Source organism: Homo sapiens, chromosome Y (genome assembly GCF_000001405.40).
Source record: "Homo sapiens chromosome Y, GRCh38.p14 Primary Assembly".
Classification (NCBI taxonomy): domain Eukaryota; kingdom Metazoa; phylum Chordata; class Mammalia; order Primates; family Hominidae; genus Homo; species Homo sapiens.
In genome coordinates, this window is record NC_000024.10 from 23,120,583 (window position 1) to 23,140,025 (window position 19,443).

Genomic DNA, 19,443 nt, shown 5'->3' on the forward strand with positions numbered 1-19,443 from the left:
TGATCACTATTACAGAGACATATACAAGTATAAAGATCACTGGTAGAGCAGATATACAACAAAAGGAATAATAATCAAATCGTATCACTATAGAAATGACCAAACTGCAACGATAAACAATAAGGCAGAAATAAATGAACAAAGGATATACAAAACAACAAGAAAATAATTAACAAAATGACAGGAGTAAGTCCTCACCTATCAGTAATACCTTGAATGTAAACAGATTAAATTCCTCACATAAAAGACTTAGGCTAGCAGAATGGATTGAAAAAAAAAAAAAAAAATTACCCAACTGGATGCTGCCTACAAGTAACTGACTTCACCTGTAAAGACACTTGTGTGATTACATAGACTGAAAGTGAAGGAACAGAAAAAGATATTCCATGTGAACCAAAACCAAAAGTGAATTAGAGTAGCTATACATATCAAATGAAACAGACTTCAAGTCAAAAACTGTAAAAAGAGACCAAAAAGGTCATTATGTAATGATAAAGGGTCCAATTGAGCCAGAGGATATAACAATTGTGAATATATATTCACCCAACATCAGAGCACCCAGATATATAAAAACCAAATATTATTAAATCTAAAGGGTGAGATAGACTTCAATATAGTAATAGTTGGGGACTTCCAACACTCACTCTCTGCATTAGACAGATATCTATATATATACATATATATATATATATATATACAGAAACCAACAAAGAAACATTTAACAGGAAATGAATCTGAGACCAGACAGACCTAACAGACATTTCTAGAACATTTCATCCAATAGCTGCAGAATACACATGCTTTTCATCAGTAAATTCTGCACATGGACTGTTCTTGGGGACAGACCACATGTTCATCCACACAATTAAGTTTCAACAAATTTAAATGAACTGAAATCATGGTAAGTATCTTCTCTTAATCACAATGGAATAAAACTAGAAATCGATAACAAGAGTAACTTTTGAAATTACACAAATACATGGAAATTAAACAACATGCTCCTGAATGAGAAGTCAAATGAAAAAATTAAAACGATAATTTAAAAATTTCTGGAAACAAATGAAAACAGCAACATTTGAAAACCTATGCGATACAACAAAGCCATTTTAAGAGGAAAACTTACAGCAATAAATACCTGTATCCGAAAAGTGGAAATAAAATTAAAAACCTAACGATGCATATCAAGGAACTAGAAAAGTAAGCGCAAACCATGACCAAAATTAGTAGAAGAAAAACATAATGAAGATCAGAGCAGAAATAAAATGGGGACTATAAAAATACAGAAGATCAACAAAAGAAAAAGTTGGTTTTGTGAAAAGGTAAACAAAATTTGCAAACGGTTAGCTACACAAACCAAGAATAAAAGAGAAAAAGACTCAAATAAATAAAATCAGAAATGAAATAGGAGACTACCAGAGAAATATAAAGGATCATTACAGACTATTCTGAACAACTATACACCAAAAAATCAGAGAACCTAGCAGAAAGAAATAGACAAATTCCTGGACACATAAAACCTACCAAGATTGAACCAGTAAGAAATAGAAAACACGGGCCGGGCACGGTGGCTCACAGCTGTAATCCCAGCACTTTGAGAGGCAGAGGCGGGCGGATAATGAGGTCAGGAGATGGAGACCATCCTGGCTAACACGGTGAAACCCCATCTCTACTAAAAATACAAAAAAGTTAGCTGGGCATCATGACAGGTGCCCGTAGTCCCAGCTACTCAGGAGTCTGAGGCAGGAGACTGGCATGAACCCGGAAGGAGGAGTTTGCAGTGAGCCGAGATTGCACCACTGCACTCCAGCCTGGGTGACAGAGAGAGACTCCCTCTCAAAAAAAAAAAAAAAAAAAAAAAAAAAAAAAGAAATAGAAAACCTGAACAGACCAATTATGAGTAAGAAGATTGAATCTGTAATAAACAGCCTCCCATCAAATAACTGAGGAACTGAGGGCTTCAATGCTGAATTACACCACAAATTTAAATAAATAATAGCAATTCTTCTCAAACCCTTCCAGAAAGTTGAAGAGAATTCTTCAAAGTTCATTATTTGAGGTCAGCATTACTCTGATACCAAATCCAGACAAGGACACAACAAAAAAAGAAAACTATAGACCAGTATCTCTGATTAACAGAAACGCAAAAAACCTCAACCAAATACTAAGAAACTGAAACCAACAGCACATTAAAAAGATCATTCCCCATGACCAAGTGGGATTTATCCCAGGGATGCAAGGGATTCATCCCAGTAGAGCAGATATACAAGGGAGAAAGGAAAAACAATCAAACTTTATCACTACAGGAAAATACTAAACTGCAATGATAAACAATAAGAAAGAAATCAACAAAGGTTATAGAAACCAACCAGAAAATAATTAACAAAATGACAGGATGTTTCCACATATGCAAACCAACTTAAATATGATACATCGCATTGACAGAGTGAAGAACAAAAACCATGTGATCATCTCAATAGATGCAGAAAAAACATTTGATAAAATTCAACAGGGCTTCATGATAAAAACTCTCCACAAGTCAGACGTAAAAGGAATATATCTGAACACAATAAAGGCCATATATAATAAACCCACAACCAACATCATACTGAACAGGGAAAAATTCAAAGGATTTCCTCTAACATACGGAAGAGACAAAAATATCCACTTCACAACTTTTATTCAGCATAGTACCAGAAGTTCTAGCCACAGCAATTAGGCAAGGGAAAAAAAAGAGCATCCAGATTGGAAAGGAAGAAGTCAAATTGTCCCTGTTTGCAGATATAAAACCTTTAAAACTCCACCAAAAAACTTTCAGTAGTCATAAATGAATTCAGTAAATTTGTTTGCAGACACAAAACCCTTAAAACTCCACCAAAAAAACTTTCAGAAGTGATAAGTGAATTCAGTAAATTTGCAGTACACAAAATTAATATACAAAAACCACTAGACTTTCTGTGTACCAACAAGCAGCCAGCAGGAAAAAATAATCAAGAAAGCAATCCCGTTTATAATAGGTATAAAAAATAAAATAAAGTATCTAGGAATAAATTTAACCAATGAGATAAAAACCTCTACAAGGAAAACTATTAAAAAACTTACAAAATAAATTAAAGATTACACAAAAAAGTAGAAAGACACCCCAACCCCATGTTCACAGGTTGGAAGAATTAATATTGTTAAAATAACCAATTCTGCCAAAAGTGATCTACAGATTTCATGCAATCCCCGTGAAAATGCCAAATACTTCTTCATAGAAATTAGAAAAAAAAATCATAAAATTCTATGGAACCACAAAAGACTCCAAGTAGCGAAAGCAATACTGAGTCAAAAGAATAAAGCTGAAGGCATCACGCTAGCGAATTTCAAAATGTACTGCAAAACTGTAGTAGTAACAAAAACAGCATGGCATGTTGAAGAGATCTCTGCACTCTCACGTTTATTGCAGTACTGTTCACAATATCCAAGATTTGGAACCAGCCTAAGTATCCGTCAACAGATGAATGCATAAAGAAAATGTGGTACATCTACACAATGGAGTACTATTGAGCCGTTAAAAAGGATGAGGTCCGGTCATTTGCAGCAACACGGATGGAACCAAGGACATTATTTTAAGTGAAATAAACCAGGCACAGAAAGACAAATGTCTTTATTCTCACTCATATGTGGGAGCCAAAATAATTGATCTCATGGAGGTAAAGTGTAGAACAGTAGTTAACAGAGGCTATAGAGAGTGAGTGTTGGGGTTGGGGGACGGGAATTAAGGGAGGTTGTTTACTGGATACAAAAATACAGTTAGAAGGAATAAGTTCTAGTGTTTGACAGCACAGGAGGGTGACTATAGTTAACAATAATTTATTGTGTAGTTCCAAATAGGTAGAAAATGCTCCCCACACAAAGAAATGATAAATGTTTGAGGTGATGGATATCCCAGTTACCCTGTTTTGATCACCACACATTGCATGGAAGCATGAAATTGTCACAGATATCCCATAAATGTGTATAATTATTATGTATTAGTAAAAATATTTCTGTATTTTGATTTGGAGAGTCTGCTATCTATGAGATAGTATAAAAAGCAATGGCCCAGATGTCAAGTCTCAGTTTCTTATTTATCTGAATCCCAGGGTGTGTAAATTTAAGAAAATCACACCTAAAACCTAGACATGTCTAGCACTTCAAAGGAGTTGACGAAGACCAAACGAAATCATATATACGAAGTAGCTCTGAAAACCCTAAAATCCTATACAAATTTCAGGGAGTATGCATGTGATGAGAAGAATGGGATATGAAATCCTGCCTGCCACCTCCAGCATTTCATGAAGGAAAAACAGAAATTGTGCTTAGGGAATGCTGGCCTATGTACCATTATTTCACTCATTTGTTAGTGTTCTACTCATTCAAGGCCCTCTCAGAAAAAAGGGAACTATTCTAGAAAATATCCTGAAGAGCCTAGCATAATGAGCTGTTTCCTACTACCAAAGAAGATACGCAAAAGACTACATTTCAGGACACAGTCATTCACCAAACCATGGCTGCTCTATACACAGACCACGTGGGAAGTTCTAGTTACTGAAATGTAAAGGCTGCAGAAAACTTAGGTGGGTTTGAGTGGGATGCAGGTGGGTAGATCTGTGGATGGGAAGCTAACCACATTGATGTGTTGCCCCAAATAATCTCATAGTAACACTATAAAGTAGATACTAGTATTGTTGTTTTACAGAGGAGGAAACCAAGACTCAGTGAGAAGCTCGTCCAAGCTTACTCAGGAAGTATTTGGGGCTGGGATTTAAAGTTCACTCTTTTTTATGACATTCTAGTACCTAAGTGATCAGAGGCATTTAACAATGTTCGTAGGAGCATAGTTTGTAACAGCAATCAACGAATCAACACAATTTACATTTAAAATTTTAAAACAAAAAATAAAAGTCAATTGTCCCCCAGCAAGGGAAATAACAAACCGTAAAATATTCAACTGATACAACTAAAAAGCAGTGAAAATAAATAGAATCTCCCAGTCAACACGGATGAGTCTAACAATGTGCCAAAAAAAAAAAAAAAAAAAAAATAGTTTCAGTATATGTTCTCTTAAAGTTCAAAATATTGTGAAAAGAAACATTTTATTCAGCAGATGATTAAACCAAAATTCAATTTAGGTGGTTTCTTCTTCTTGGGGAGGAAGAGGGTGTGATCAGGGAGGGCATATTTTTTAATTAATGAAATGTTCTATTTCTCAAGCCAACTTGGGTATTTATTATTCTTTAAATAAATATTTTTATACTTTTGAGTGAACTAAATGTGAAATTTTAAAACACAGACATATACAAAAAGAATATGGATATCAAATGCCTAAGGCTGTCTCTGGAACTTGATCTCAACATATTTTTTTGATATTGATCTGTTATTATCATTCTTGCTTAAAGGTGTTAAGAGGTATTAGTTAATTCCACAGCAGGAAAAGGAGCAATGACAGGCCATACTTTTCTAAAAACCATGGGTAATACTATTTGTAAAGTGTGTCAAGTGAGTCAAAGGCATAGTTCTTCACTCCAGGAGGCAAACACAGTGTCTCTGTCCCCAGGATATCCACTCTGCCCTTTCCCACTCGAGCCTAGTCCCTCACCCTTGGCTTGCCTGCTCTTGGCCTTGGAATCCAGCTTTGCCTCTGTAGTCACTCCCTCCTGTCACTGATTTCTGGCCACAAGTCTTGGTTTTCAAACTTTCTATTCAATCTATTTCAGCCCATTCATGAGTCACTCTTGCCTGTGGACAGCTGGCATTCCCAGGCACGGGCTTGGCAGGGAAAGATGAATTCGGTGAATTAAGCCAACGGAATCCTTTATGAAAGTCATAGTTGACCTGACAGGGCTGTTTCTATCCTAAATCCAGGGGTAGCTTGAGATGATCTAATGAGAGCTCCCCAGCTGAGGCCATATTTCTCAAAGTATGTTACGGTGGTCAGAATCACCTGGGGCACATGTTAAAAATGCAGATTACTGGGCCCATCCAGAGCATTAGAATAAGAGCATCTGAGAATGGGGCCCAGGATTTGGCTTCTGAAAAACACCCCTTATGATAGCTCTGATGCTCTTTGACTTCCCTGTAAAATTGGTATCTTGAGGAAACGTGCCCTATCGAATACTGCGCTGATCTAAACATGGACACAACTTTGGATGGTGAGCATATCGGTTTGTCAAAGACCCATCACCAACCAAAATGATGAGCAACAACCAAGTCATGTTCAGGAAAAAAAAAAAAAAAAAAAGTGCAGGTCACGCTTTCCTCAATATAGTGGGTTTACTGCTTAAACACTGTTCAGATTTTACTCACAGTGAAGCTGCTCCAACACCAGGTAGGGGATCAGCATAGGTAAAAACAAGGAGAAAAATGTCCTCTGCCTTTTAAATTACCTCTCTCCATTCTTATGGGCCTAGTCAGATTTATGGAGGGTGTGAAGGAGGCGGGAAGAGTCCTATCAAAATTTTTAAACAAATGTACAAGGGCAGAGGGGACACGTCCACTTAAACAGCTGGCCTGGCTGTATCATTATCAACTGCCTTTCTTCTGGAGTTTCATCTAAGATTGAGCCAGAATGGAGTGTGTCTCTATCCATGTTATTTTGGGCAAAGACAATAGATGTGATTAGAACCTTAGTGTATTTTTGTTATTCTATAAAAAGATCTGATTGAGGGTTATGAAACCTCCAATTTTCCAAAGTGCTTAAAATGTTACTATTGCTTCAAATTTATAAGGAGTGTTCATGACCTGAATATCCCAGTCATGCAAGTATTTGTTCTATTGTTAAAGACCTAGTGAACCGGTATCTTGAAGTTTCATGTGGAAAAGACCTAGTGAACCGGCATCTTGAAGTTTCATGTGGAATTCCTGGCATGCAGCATTAATGAAGGTGCACGTAAGATACAAAGCCTTGTCTTGGGAAAACGAACTACAGACTTAACTAGAGAACTGTTTCAGACCAGTTAAAAACGTAAAATACAGCGACCATAGAGTTTAATTGTACAGTGGTAGAGTGGTAGTTTCAACTTCTGTACCAAGAGACAATTTTTTTTTTTTTTTTTTTTTGCGTTTACTTAGGATTGGCCCACAGCTACATCCATACTGGACAGATGTTTTTAACTCTAAATGCAATGTTGAATTGTCTATTATTTCTTTGCTATGCAGATTATCTTTCATGAGCATTCAAAAACATGTTTATAGTTTGAACTTCTTATGTCTATTGTTTTCTACTACAAAATGTACTGTCTACAGATGGAAAGTTCTGTCTTTGGTGAGTGGCAAGGAATTGCTCACAACAATCAGTTACATACAGAGACATACTACACATGTTGGGAAGGGATAGATTACACTTATCAAAATATGTACAGGAGCAATCCTTATCTAGGGATTCCAAATGATCATACTCAATAGCTGGCCCATTCACAAGACTTGGTCAATGTAAAATACTGCTACTTTTTTCTCCCTTATGTTTCCCCACTTTCTCTATTGGCATCTTTGTGAAAGCAAGGTGGCACGCTGCCTTATCGTTGCTGCTCCTCATTACCCTCAACTGACAGCAAGGAAAGCAGGCAAGGCGATTAAGCAATGTGGCAGCCCATTTTTATCAGTTTACCTTTAAAAAAAAGCCAAGAAAAATTTAGTGAAGAGGGGGCTAGAGGTGCTTTATAACGAGAGGGAAATGCTGTGGAGTATTTATTTTTAAGAGTCAATGACTTCCTTGCCAGACAGGTACTACCAATTCTGAAGTTATTTTGAATTAAAGGTAATCTGATTTTAGAAAAAGAAAAAAACCAACATGCAGAATACACTTAAGGAGGTGACCAACCTTTTTAGAGCTGCTTGATTTCACCATAACTTGAACTTTTTACAAAAAAGTGCTTAACTGTTATTTTTCAATTCCAAAGATTTTTGTGGTAATAATTTAATAGGAAACTAGAAACAAGCTGGTGTAAAGCAACTATCTTAAACCATATGTAGTCTAGTTTTGGGGTCTGAAAATACTGAAAACCTACTAGCTTGATCAGCTAGAACCAAATATTCTGGATAATCGTTAGTATGTACATAACCATAAATATATGCATATATAGACACATATGTACACATATATACACATAGGCACATAAAAGAATTACTAATTTTTTGCCTATTATTGGACACTAAACATCACAATTTAATCTTTGGTGATGCAGAAAGCACTGTTTGCTATCCTGCGTATCCTTGGAGTCAACTTTCTGGTTATGAATCAGCAAGCTTACTAACTAATGAAATACAGGAGTGTCTGAGGAGTTTCCTCTCCACTGGACTCAGCTTATAGAACTGAGTACTAACACTAAAGCTAGAAGAAGCGGTACTGATTTTTTTTTTTTATGGTATCCACAGGAAGTACCTGCAATATAAAAAAATTAAGCTCCCTTAGGCAACTGCAATACCCCGAAATAAATGATCTAGAGACTAGGCCCAAAGTGTACAGTAGACAAAATGCTTCATAGGGTCCAAAATGTGAGGGACCTTAGCCGTGAGATAGCAGAGTCGGATGTGTTCATCAGCATTCCTAGTCTGCACTGCTGTTGATGCACCTCTTAAACTTATCTTTGTACCTACATTTGCTTTTATGGGCTAACTCAGACAGATTAGTATACTGAACTTTATACTTCTGCATTTTAAGAATCTAAAGCTTGTTATACGAATTTAAACCTTGTTACACAGTTCCCACGCAACTCCCCACCATTTTACATTATTACATCGGAAAGCCAAAAACACATTTGAAGAAAAAAAGTTTATTTTTATTCATTTATGCAAAGACAGTATCAGCAATAGGTAGTAGGAACATTTTTCTCAGTTTAGAATTAATTTTCCATTTTGAAAGGGACTTAATATCTTCTTTACCTTACTCTATTAAATACTTCAACAAAGACAAAAATTTATTCCTTTACTTTTCCTTAAGGTCATATCGGAATAATTAGAATTAACTCTTTAGAATGTAGGTATCATTTACAGAAATCTGGAGATTTAATCACAGAATGATGTATGTCGGAATGTTAAAAGCACTAAAAAAACTATGGATAATTTTTTAATGGACAAAGTCATGGTGCTTTCAATTTCTGAGGTGTAATAAAGCCTTCTTGGGAATTCTAAAGTTTAAAGACTGTATCCTTCGGATTCCGAATGAAAATTTTGAGAAATCATAGACCCCAGTGGGCATTAGTAATATGGCCCATAGTAACGACATTAACTTAGAGTCTCCACGTTTTAGGGAAGAAGCCATTGAAAGAAGGGCCAGAAAGCCACTTTAAACACATGTCCATGGCAGATCAAATGATACTGATACAAATGTTTCCCTTAGAAAGGTATTATATCCCATTGCTACCATTCCACGGCTTGGCCTTTGAACTGCTCATACAGCTACTTCCATTCTTTACATCACCAGTTCTAAGAGCAAACCTCCTGAAAGACTAGTAAAAGAGGCTGGGAAAACAAGACTGTGAGTATAGCAAAAGGGCTCTGGTGCTCTAGCTGTGTGGTCACAATATAAAATGAGGACACTACCTAATCTAGAAACAACATGCCTCTTCTGGACATATTTTATTTTACAGAAGGAAATATAACAGGCTAAAAAACAAAAATAAAAATCTATTTATAGCAAGTAACTAATACTTCAATGTTTTTATAAAAACAATTCCTTTCAGATACTCCGATTAACCTTTGAGTGACATAAAAAAGCTGCAGCGTTCTTTAATACCAGTATTTTGCAAATTTCACATACAGCCATTAAGTTTAGCATTTCAAGGAACAATTTTTTTTATAAAAAAGAATGGTAACTCATTGAGAAGGTTATATACCCAGTAAAGTTTAGTTTGTCTTGGATTCTTTAAAAAATTAGGCCCAGAATTTTAGTTATCCTAACTACTATCCCAATCAAATTGGACATACATATGTGGATTCTAGATAAAAGATAAAATACTTTGAATAAACATTATGACTCACTGATTGGACTGTTTGCTTAGAATCTGTTTTACTGGGTTTGGATAAGACTTCAATAAAGCTAACTATACATTGAGTTCCACTGATTAAAAATGCAGTTTTAAAAATTCTGCTTTTGAGGTAAATTTCTAGATAAATCATAAATGCAAAGCTCAATACTGAAATATTGTACTGTTCACAGGTACTTCTTGGAGAAGTGAAATGCTTGTGTTCAGACTATCAAAATTGTTAGCTTTCAAATCAGGTTTTAAAAACTTTTTTGAAAGTCAGTATTTGCTTTTAAACACTTAAAATGCAAGTTTCAATTTTTTAAAAATCCTTGCAGATAAATCTTAACATTCTTTCAGTCTCGATTATTTGTTACTTTAAACTATATATTAAACACAGAACCAGGTTCTAAATAAACATCTAATGAAGAACAGTTTCAGTGTTAAGATAAAACTAGAGAGTCTAATAATACAAGTTATACAGAAAGTTTCAGTGTGATTTACCAAAATTCAGAATTTCTGTAATAGTGGAAAACTTTTAGCTTAATATTCAAAACCAGCAACTTCCCATGAAACTAGATAGCTGAGAGGATCCAACAGATTTAAATACTGCCAAACTTCTTCTAAAGCGATGCACTCTTTTACCCTGGAAAAGACAGAAATAGTCCTTTTATTTTACTGAAAATTTCTGATGACTACTATGGATCTGAAAGTTGTCAAAACTTAAACCATTTGTTTTGGGTTTAAACATTATAAATAATGAGAAAAAAAGATGATTCTTTTCAGGAAGCATATTTGAACACTGGGATAACAAATGTACCAAGATGGCTAGTTTTATTAAACAGTTAAAAAAAGAAATCAATAATTAAATAAAACAAATTCCAGTAAACTGAGAAATAAAAGGACTTAAACTCAGTATCATTTTATGTACTTCTTAGTTAATAATTTTGCAGTAATGTCCCAAAGACAGCTGGTAGAAAATGTAATTGTAAAGAATACTTTTTTCACTAATTGAACTGCATTTAATACCAACTACAGCTTGCGAACTGCTCTCCAATCTGAAATTTCGTGTTTTTAGATTAAAATATGTAAGTTTTGGCATTTGAAGAACATATCATTAACCTGTGAAGACATATCATTCTTTAGAAAGGAAGATAAAACTTTAAAATACATGCAAAACTTTCTTTTCACTCTATGTTGCCTGCAGACGTGCAGAGAGAAGTGAGAGGTCTTACAAGGAGGAATGGGAATGAGTGAACGAGTAATAACATTTCCTTTTCTACAAAGCTGTGCCCTTTTTTTAAGACTTCAGTTTCATTTTCATATAAATAAAAGTGGCTTCTGGAAGTTACCTCATCTGTCAAAAGAGTGATAATCAATTTAGGTTAAAATCTAGAAAACTGGTCACCAACATGTATATTCAGAGGTCATGTAGGAAACAAGATTGTGAAAGGGCTAGATAACTAAGACAATGAAGAGAAATCGGCTATGGAAATTGTAAATACATTCAAAAATATCTCAGGCATTCTAATTCAATATAACAACGTGCAGTCAATTAAAATAGGTCTAAATGTCAGACAACTGCAGGATGCCAACTTCTGATTCCTCTCCCAAATAAGCAGAAAACTCTGGAAGTTTCAAAGCGAGTCTTTTGTCTACCACCAGGTGAGAACTCAAGTTTAAAAAAATATTTTCTGGGCTGGACATGGTGGCATACGCCTGTAATCCCAGCACTTTGGGAGGCTGAGGCAGGAGGATCACTTGAGCCCAGGAGTTCAAGACGAGCCAGGGCAATATAGTAAGATTCTCTCTTAAAAAAAAATCTTTTGGCTGGGCACGGTGGCTCACACCTGTAATCCCAGCAATTTGGGAGGCCGAGGCGGGCAGATCACAAGGTCAGGAGATCGAGACCATCCTGGCTAACACGATGAAACCCCATCTCTACTAAAAACACAAAAAATTAGCTGGGCGTGGTGGCAGGCACCTGTAGTCCCAGCCACTCGGGAGGCTGAGGCAGGAGAATGGCATGAACCTGGGAGGCAGAACTTGCAGTGAGCCAAGATCGCACCACTGCACTCCAACCTGGGTGACACAGTGGGACTCTGTCTCAAAAAAAAAAAAAAAAAATTTCTTTTTAACTAGCTAAGTGTGGTGGTGCACGTCTGTCGTCCTATTTGGGACGCTGAGGCAGAAGGATCCCTTGAGTGCAGGAGTTTGAGGTTGTAGTAAGCTGTGATTGCGACACTGCACTCCAGCCTGGATGACCAAATGAGGTCACCTCAAAAAAAAAAAAAAGAAAGAAAGAAAGAAACACAAAAAACTATCTTCTGCTTTGAAAATCACTTAAGTACTACTGTAGACACCAATGTAATCAGAATTTTCGGCAAGATAAGCTGATGTACAATTCCAGTTCTTTCTTTTCTAAATTGTACTATCTATATAGAACGAAGCAACAAGAGAACAAATGTCAAATTTAAATATATTTACTCCATGTTGCAAAGATGTTAAGAACTTAATTCTGCTATCTGGCTCTACTCTTCTACATTATACAGAAGATTCATAATATAACCCTTTAAAAAGGCTTAGGCTTCATCCCATATCCATTCACAGACAAAAATAAGCTAGTTCTGTTGTAAGACACAAAGTGATGGTTAAACATTTTCTTTTGAATGTAAAGTGTGTAGCCAGTTTTGACAAATCTGGCAGTTCCACTAAAGGTTAAATATGACTTAGCAATTCCATTCCCAAGTATATACGCAAGAGAGGTAAGCACGTATGTCCCCACAGTAACTTGTACATGAATGTTCACAGCATTAGTTATAACAGCTAAAAAGTGGAAATAATCCAAATGTCTTTAACAGATGAATGCATAAACAGAATAAGGTAATATCTACAAATAAAAAGAAATGATTAAGTTCTGATACGTGCTAGAATATTGATGAACCTTACAAACATTATGCTGAGTGAAAAAATCCAGTCACAAAATGCCACATCATTATGTATGATTCCATATACAAGAAATCTCCAGGACAGGAAAATCCTTAGAGGAAAAAAGTAAATTAGTGTTTGCCTAGGGATACACACAAGTTCCAGGAAAATAGCAGGTGACTGCTAAGGTACGGGGGTGATTTTTGAGGTGATTTAAATATTCTAAAATTGATTGTGGACATGGTTGCACAACTTTGAATATATGAAAAAACAGTGAAGTGCACATTTTAAATACATAAATTGTATTACTGGTATTATTTTAATAAAATTGTTATTTAAAAAACACCTTCCCTTTATTAACCATAATATTTTTCTCCCACCGGACTGACCAAGTTAGTTCTTTTTCGTATTTATAGACTTAGAACCACAGGGACCCAGAAACCTTTAGTCCTGTACCTTCTCATTTTAGACTTGTAAGAATTAGAGCCTTAATAAAAGATTTATCTATCCAACATGGATAGAAAGTGGGATCAGAAGTCAGATCTTTCTGGAATTCAACTAGCCACATTCTCTTCCGCTTCACCAACTCTGAATCAACCTCTCTTTCTACTCAACTTTTTACTGCTTCATTTTACCCCTTTTCTCCCTTCACACTGTTCAGGTGTATCATCTGAGTAAATCATTTCTTTTCTTCTCTTTAGTCCAATATGCATGTATTAAGTTCTACTTTTTTTTTTTTTTTTTTTTTTTTTTGAGACAAGGTCTCTCACTCTGTTGCCCAGGCTGGACTACAACGGCACAATCATGGCTCAGTGCAGCCTCAACTTCCCAGGCTCAAGCGATCCTCCTGCCTCAGACTCCTCTGGAGTAGTTGGCACTACAGGCATGTACCATCACAACTGGCTGATTTTTGTATTTTTTTGTAGAGATGGTGTTTTGCCTTGTTACCCAGGGTGGCCTCGAACTCCTGAGCTCAAGCAATCCACCCACCTCAGCCCCCCAAAGTGTTGGGATTACAGGCGTGAGCCTCTGCACCCAGCCAAGATCTCCTTTCTGTATCTAAAATTTTATTTTACTATTTGGTCAAGGTAGTCAACTAACTCTCTTCTCTAGTAAACCCTTTCAATTACAAATTTCTGCTGCAGGATTCTTCCCTAAATTTGACTACATTATATCAAGGCTCGGCAGCAGAAAATATACTGCCAGGTAAAACCCACACTGGTTTACTGGGTTACAGTCAAATGCCAACAGTTCAATTAAATGTTCTAGGCCGGGCACGGTGGCTCATGCCTGTAATCCCAGCACTTTGGGAGGCTGAGGCAGGTGGATCACGAGGTCAGGAGATCGAGACCATCCTGGCTAACACGGTGAAACCCCGTCTCTACTAAAAATACAAAAAATTAGCTGGGCGTGGTGGTGGGCGCCTGTAGTCCCAGCTACTCGGAAGGCTGAGGCAGGAGAATGGCGTTAAGTAAACCTGGGAGGTGGAGCTTGCAGTGAGCCTAGATGGGGCCACTCACTGCACTCCAGCCTGGGCGACAGAGGAGACTCCGTCTCAAAACAAAAAAAAAAGAAAAAAAATTCCTCTAAGAAAGCCCAAAATACATGTGCCACAAGGAAAACAGCTAACTTGAGAGGGAACAAGTGTGCTTTTTAATTATGCATGCCATTCCTTTCATACCTTGAAGCAGTCATCTTGAGTAACAACGGAATTTATCAGTCTCTTCTCTGGATTAAACAGACAAGATACCACCATTTGTATGCTTCGGTCCACAGATTTCTGAAACACAGAAGTTTTCAGTAATGTAAAGACAACTCTTTCTTTCACTCACTCTTAATAAGGGTGTGTTTTGGTTTTTCTTTTGATGGTTTAATGAACATATCAGTTTATTTCCAAAGAAATGCAAAAATGCTAAAAGAGGCTGGGAGCAGTGGCTCACACCTCTAATCCCAGCACTTTGGGAGGCCGAGGAGGACGCATCACCTGATATCAGGAGTTCAAGACTATCCTGGCCAACATGGCGAAACCCCTTCTCCACTAAAAAATACAAAAATTAGCTGGGTGACGGGTGCCTGTAATTCCACCTATTGGGGAGGCTGAGGCAGGGAGAATTACTGGAACCTAGGAGACAGAAGTTGCAGTGAGCCGAGATCACACCACTGCACTTCCAGCCTGGGCGACACCGCAAGACCCTGTCTCAAAAAAAAAAAGAAATTCATAAAAATGTGATTCATAATTCCTGCCACATATCCTCAGTATGTACGTTTTCTGACAAATCGAAGAATTATTTTAGAACCTTAGCGATAGAATACTGGTTTAAAAAGCTGAATTTGTTAAATCCCTAAGTGAATTCCAATGTTTCAAGAAAACATACTCAGAACAAAACCAGACAATTATACTGTAAGAGTTATGTTTTCATATTTATTCACATTTTAAAATCCAATATCAAATCAAGGAATTTACACTGCAATGGGACTTCTTGGGTATTATACATATTACCAGCACATCAACTACTTCCACACGCCCACCTATCTAACAGAACATATGTGACGCCAGGAGTGACAGTACTGTTATTACAGAAATTTGCACTAATGATAAAAAAAAGAAACAACCCTGTCTATTTCAGTGTTTGAATAATTACTACTGACTTCACCACTGTTGGAAACTTCTGCCACATATAATGTTATGGAGAGAATGCTTATTTAAATGGTATTTTTCACTGCTTAAGATCAAAACTGTTGTAAAAGAAAAGGGACATACAATTCGTACTAATTCTTCTTTTGAGTAGAATTCTAGAGGAAACCCTCCCATAGCATTCTGCCAAATCATATTAATACAGTATTTATTAAAGAATGGCTTTTTAAAATTAGTGAAACTGAAATACAGGAAAGGACTTGCTGAATCAGAAACTTTAGGTATATACTGAAAATTTGGGGTATCTGAAATTTCAACAACCTTTACATTAACTGCTGACTATCAGTCCATTATTTAAGCTCCATGATTTATGGCTAACATTTTTAAATTTGGGCAAAAATGTTTGCTTCTCAAAAAAAGTCATTCAAATTAGAAAAAAATATGAAATATATATTGTAAAAAAAATTCAAAATTAGATGTTTGCCTTTTGTGGGCCATTTCCAGAGGGTGGGGTAGCTTCATGAATTGAGCATTCATTTAGCACAACATCACCTCCTGTATCAACTTCACTACAGTGACAGTTAAGAGCTGAATAAGCCTATATTTAAAATAATGAAAGTGTAATTAAACAGATAATACAGATACGTTTAAAAGCTACTTATTTATTCCTCAAAAAGGTGAGCTGGTATCAAAAGTTTCAATGTAGGTTGTGTTGAAATTCAATTGTGTTACTTCAGAAACCTTGTTTTAAACGAAAAGTTGAAATGCATTAAGGCAGCCTTTTGTTTTAAAACGTCTTCCAGGTATCAACATAATCAGAGGTAGAAGGATTCTAAGAAACAAATGTAGTTAAGGGAGTGTTTGAGAATTTTAACACTTACTATATCCTTCAAATATCCAATCGTGATGTAAGACAGCAGCTCTGTTGTATTAGAGGTAATACTCTTGTTTTATTCCTATTCCTCTTTAAGAGTAATTAATAGCAAAACATTTCGGTTTCTCCTCAACAAATGTTTTATGGCTAGTAAAGCCAGAGGCATATTCTAGGCAGATACATGCTAATTCTAAAGCCAGTTAATACCGCCATTCCTGGATTATATAATCTATCAACAAGTAACTGAACACTTATCATTATGTGGACCAGCCACTGTTTCAGCACACAAAAATGTGAGAGACAAAAAGGCACTGTTGCTCCCATGGGAGTTTATAATTGGGTTAAAAATAAAGTAACAAAACATAAAACATTAATATAAAGAACCATTTAAAAATATCTACAGGCATATATGGCATAGAAAAAAGTCAAGAAAGATGAGGAAGTATACGTTTCACTAATTCACTTTACTCCATAACCCCTTTTGCTCCCCAACAGGCCACTGCGGTAGCACCTTAAAAAAATAAAAAGAAGGAAACCAAAACTATTAAAATATTCCTACACATTTTCAAAAACTCATGAGATACACAATATTGAAGCACTTATCATGCTGGCTCATTTGTTATTAAAGTGAAAGAAACAGAGTAAAAAAAAAAAAAGAAGTACTTTATGTTTCTAATCCCTGATGTTCTTGTTACTTTTATACATAAAACCTCGCCATTTTCCCAATTTTCTGGAGTTGGCATTGTGGAAATCTCAAGGATACTAGTTTTTTCAATTTATTACTTATCACCATAGATATGATTATGGGTCACAGATGTAGTCATATCTATGAAAAGAGGCCCAGAGAACTACTATCATGAAGCAGCAAGCTTAAAATAAAAATATAATTGGAATTCTGTGCTCTAAGAATGGGATGATAAAAAGATGAAAAAGATGAAAAAATACACGCTGAAATATAGAAGGGGACAACGAATCTCAGAAAACTGTTTTACAGAAAAGTTATTGCTAAGTATATCCCTGTCAAAATGTTAATTCATTACTTCTAAATAATACAGAGGGCTTCATTCTAGACCATTGCAAGTGTTTTCCTAAATTTTAGGTACATTTCACTAGTTTAAAATGACACACTATTTGGGAAATTCATATAAACAAGTTAAAGGCTTCAATAATATCTGAAAACAAATCATTTTACTCCCTCTTCAATTACCTGATAATTACATACAGGCAACTGACACCCAGTGGTGACCTGACCTGGTGAATTTGGATAAGTAGGATATGTCTGAAAGTAAGTTTACAGAAAGAATGAATATGGTAAAACATCTTTTTAAATTAGAAAAAAATATTATTCCCAAAATAAAAAAAATGAAAAACTTTAAAATATTTATTAATTTTCTATATAAAACAATGCAGAATTCTAAATGAATGAATGACTTCAGGAAGAAATAAATATTCTCTGTCAAGTGCTAAGCCCCTTTGGGTGGGGCGGGGGAACACACAAATGACAAAGTAGTGACTATTTCACCAGGCAAAGTTCACCTTACTGACACTGTGTACTTATGCCCACCCAGAAGTTGTTTCTTACACTGCTGGTAAGGCTCCATTAAGACAGATCTCAATGTAAGTTAAGTTAATACATTTGCTATTTCTTTGTCAATATACTTCCAGATAGTTTTGTGTTTGACAATATTACAGGGTAATATGTAGTTCTCCTACAGATGTTATGTTTTTTTTCTGTACTTCATTTCGAAAAACTAAGGGCAGTGTACAATCCAAAACTGGAGAAGGACAGTACGATGTCTTATATGTTTCGATAAATACTTATTGTTTGAAAACATATAGGAAGCAGCATACATGAATACACCCAAATTCAGTAATGGCTCACCGTAAATGTTAGAAACAAGTAGGGCTTTGTCTCTAGCCATTGTTCAGAGAAGAAAAAAGAAGAAGAGGTATATCCTACACATTTCAAGTACACAGAAAATGTCAATAAATGAGAGACACTGAAGAACTATTTCACTACTATTTTGTTACTTTATTTTCCATCAAAGAAAATGTCTTTTAAACTAACACATAAATAAAATGGACTAAGAAGAAAACAGACGTTATTTATCACCAATAAGTGATAGAGTATGTCAAATCCTACTTTAAATATCAAAGTAATCAGGATCAGAGAAATTACATGCCAGAAATTCACAGGATTTATAGGTACAGTAAAATAGGTCAGAAATCTATACATTCCAGACCGAGAATATATCCCGAAGTCAGCAGTTTATATGAGGAGTCAACTGGAAATCATTGCAAGTAAAGAAGAGCTAGATTAATCGCTATCCTTAAAGAATAAACTAGGCAGAAACATTAGAACAGCTGCTTTCAAATGTTTTCAGAACTAGGTATAATGGGGGAAAGAAGTTCAGGTATTTTAGAGGTAATACTCTTTTTTTATTCCTATTCTTATTTAAGAGTAATTAACAGCAAAACATTTCTGTTTCTCTTCAACAAATTTTTTGTGGCTGGTAAAACCAGAGGCAGACCCTACGCAGATACATGCTAATTCTAAAGTGACATTAATACTATCTTTCTTAGATTACACAGTCTATCAACAAGTAACTGAACACTTATTATGTGGACCAGCCACTCCTTAAGCACACAAAAACCTGAGAGAGAAAAAGGCACTGTTGCACCCATGGGAGATTGTAACTGGGTTAAAAAGAAAGTAACAAAATGTAACACATTAATATAAAGAATCATTTAAAATATTTATAAGGCATAAATGATATGGAAAATAATCCAGAAAGAACAGAAGTACATGGTAGGCTAATTCACTTTACCAGAGGTACAACCTACCTCCTTTGCTCCCCAACAGGGCACTGCGGTGGCATCTTAAAAAAAAAATAGGAAAACAAAATTATTCAAATATTCATAAACATTTTCAAAAACAAATGATATATAAAATATTGAAGTACCTATGCTGGCTCCTTTGTTATTATAATAAAAGAAAGACAATGGAAAAAAGAAGTACTTTA

At 35.6% G+C, this 19,443-nt stretch overlaps 1 protein-coding gene across 2 annotated transcripts in view; it reads right to left on the reverse strand.

The window, feature by feature from the left end:
• DAZ1 (deleted in azoospermia 1) overlaps nt 8,773-19,443 on the reverse strand; it is a 69,740-nt gene continuing 59,069 nt past the window's right edge. For both annotated transcript variants that reach the window (NM_001388496.1, NM_004081.7), the window contains 3 exons: nt 19,265-19,299; nt 14,593-14,691; nt 8,773-10,629 (listed from right to left, as the gene is read on the reverse strand). In NM_001388496.1, the coding sequence (NP_001375425.1) occupies nt 14,628-14,691; nt 19,265-19,299 (99 nt within the window). In that variant the 3' untranslated portion in view covers nt 8,773-10,629; nt 14,593-14,627. The remainder of the gene's footprint in view (nt 10,630-14,592; nt 14,692-19,264; nt 19,300-19,443) is intronic.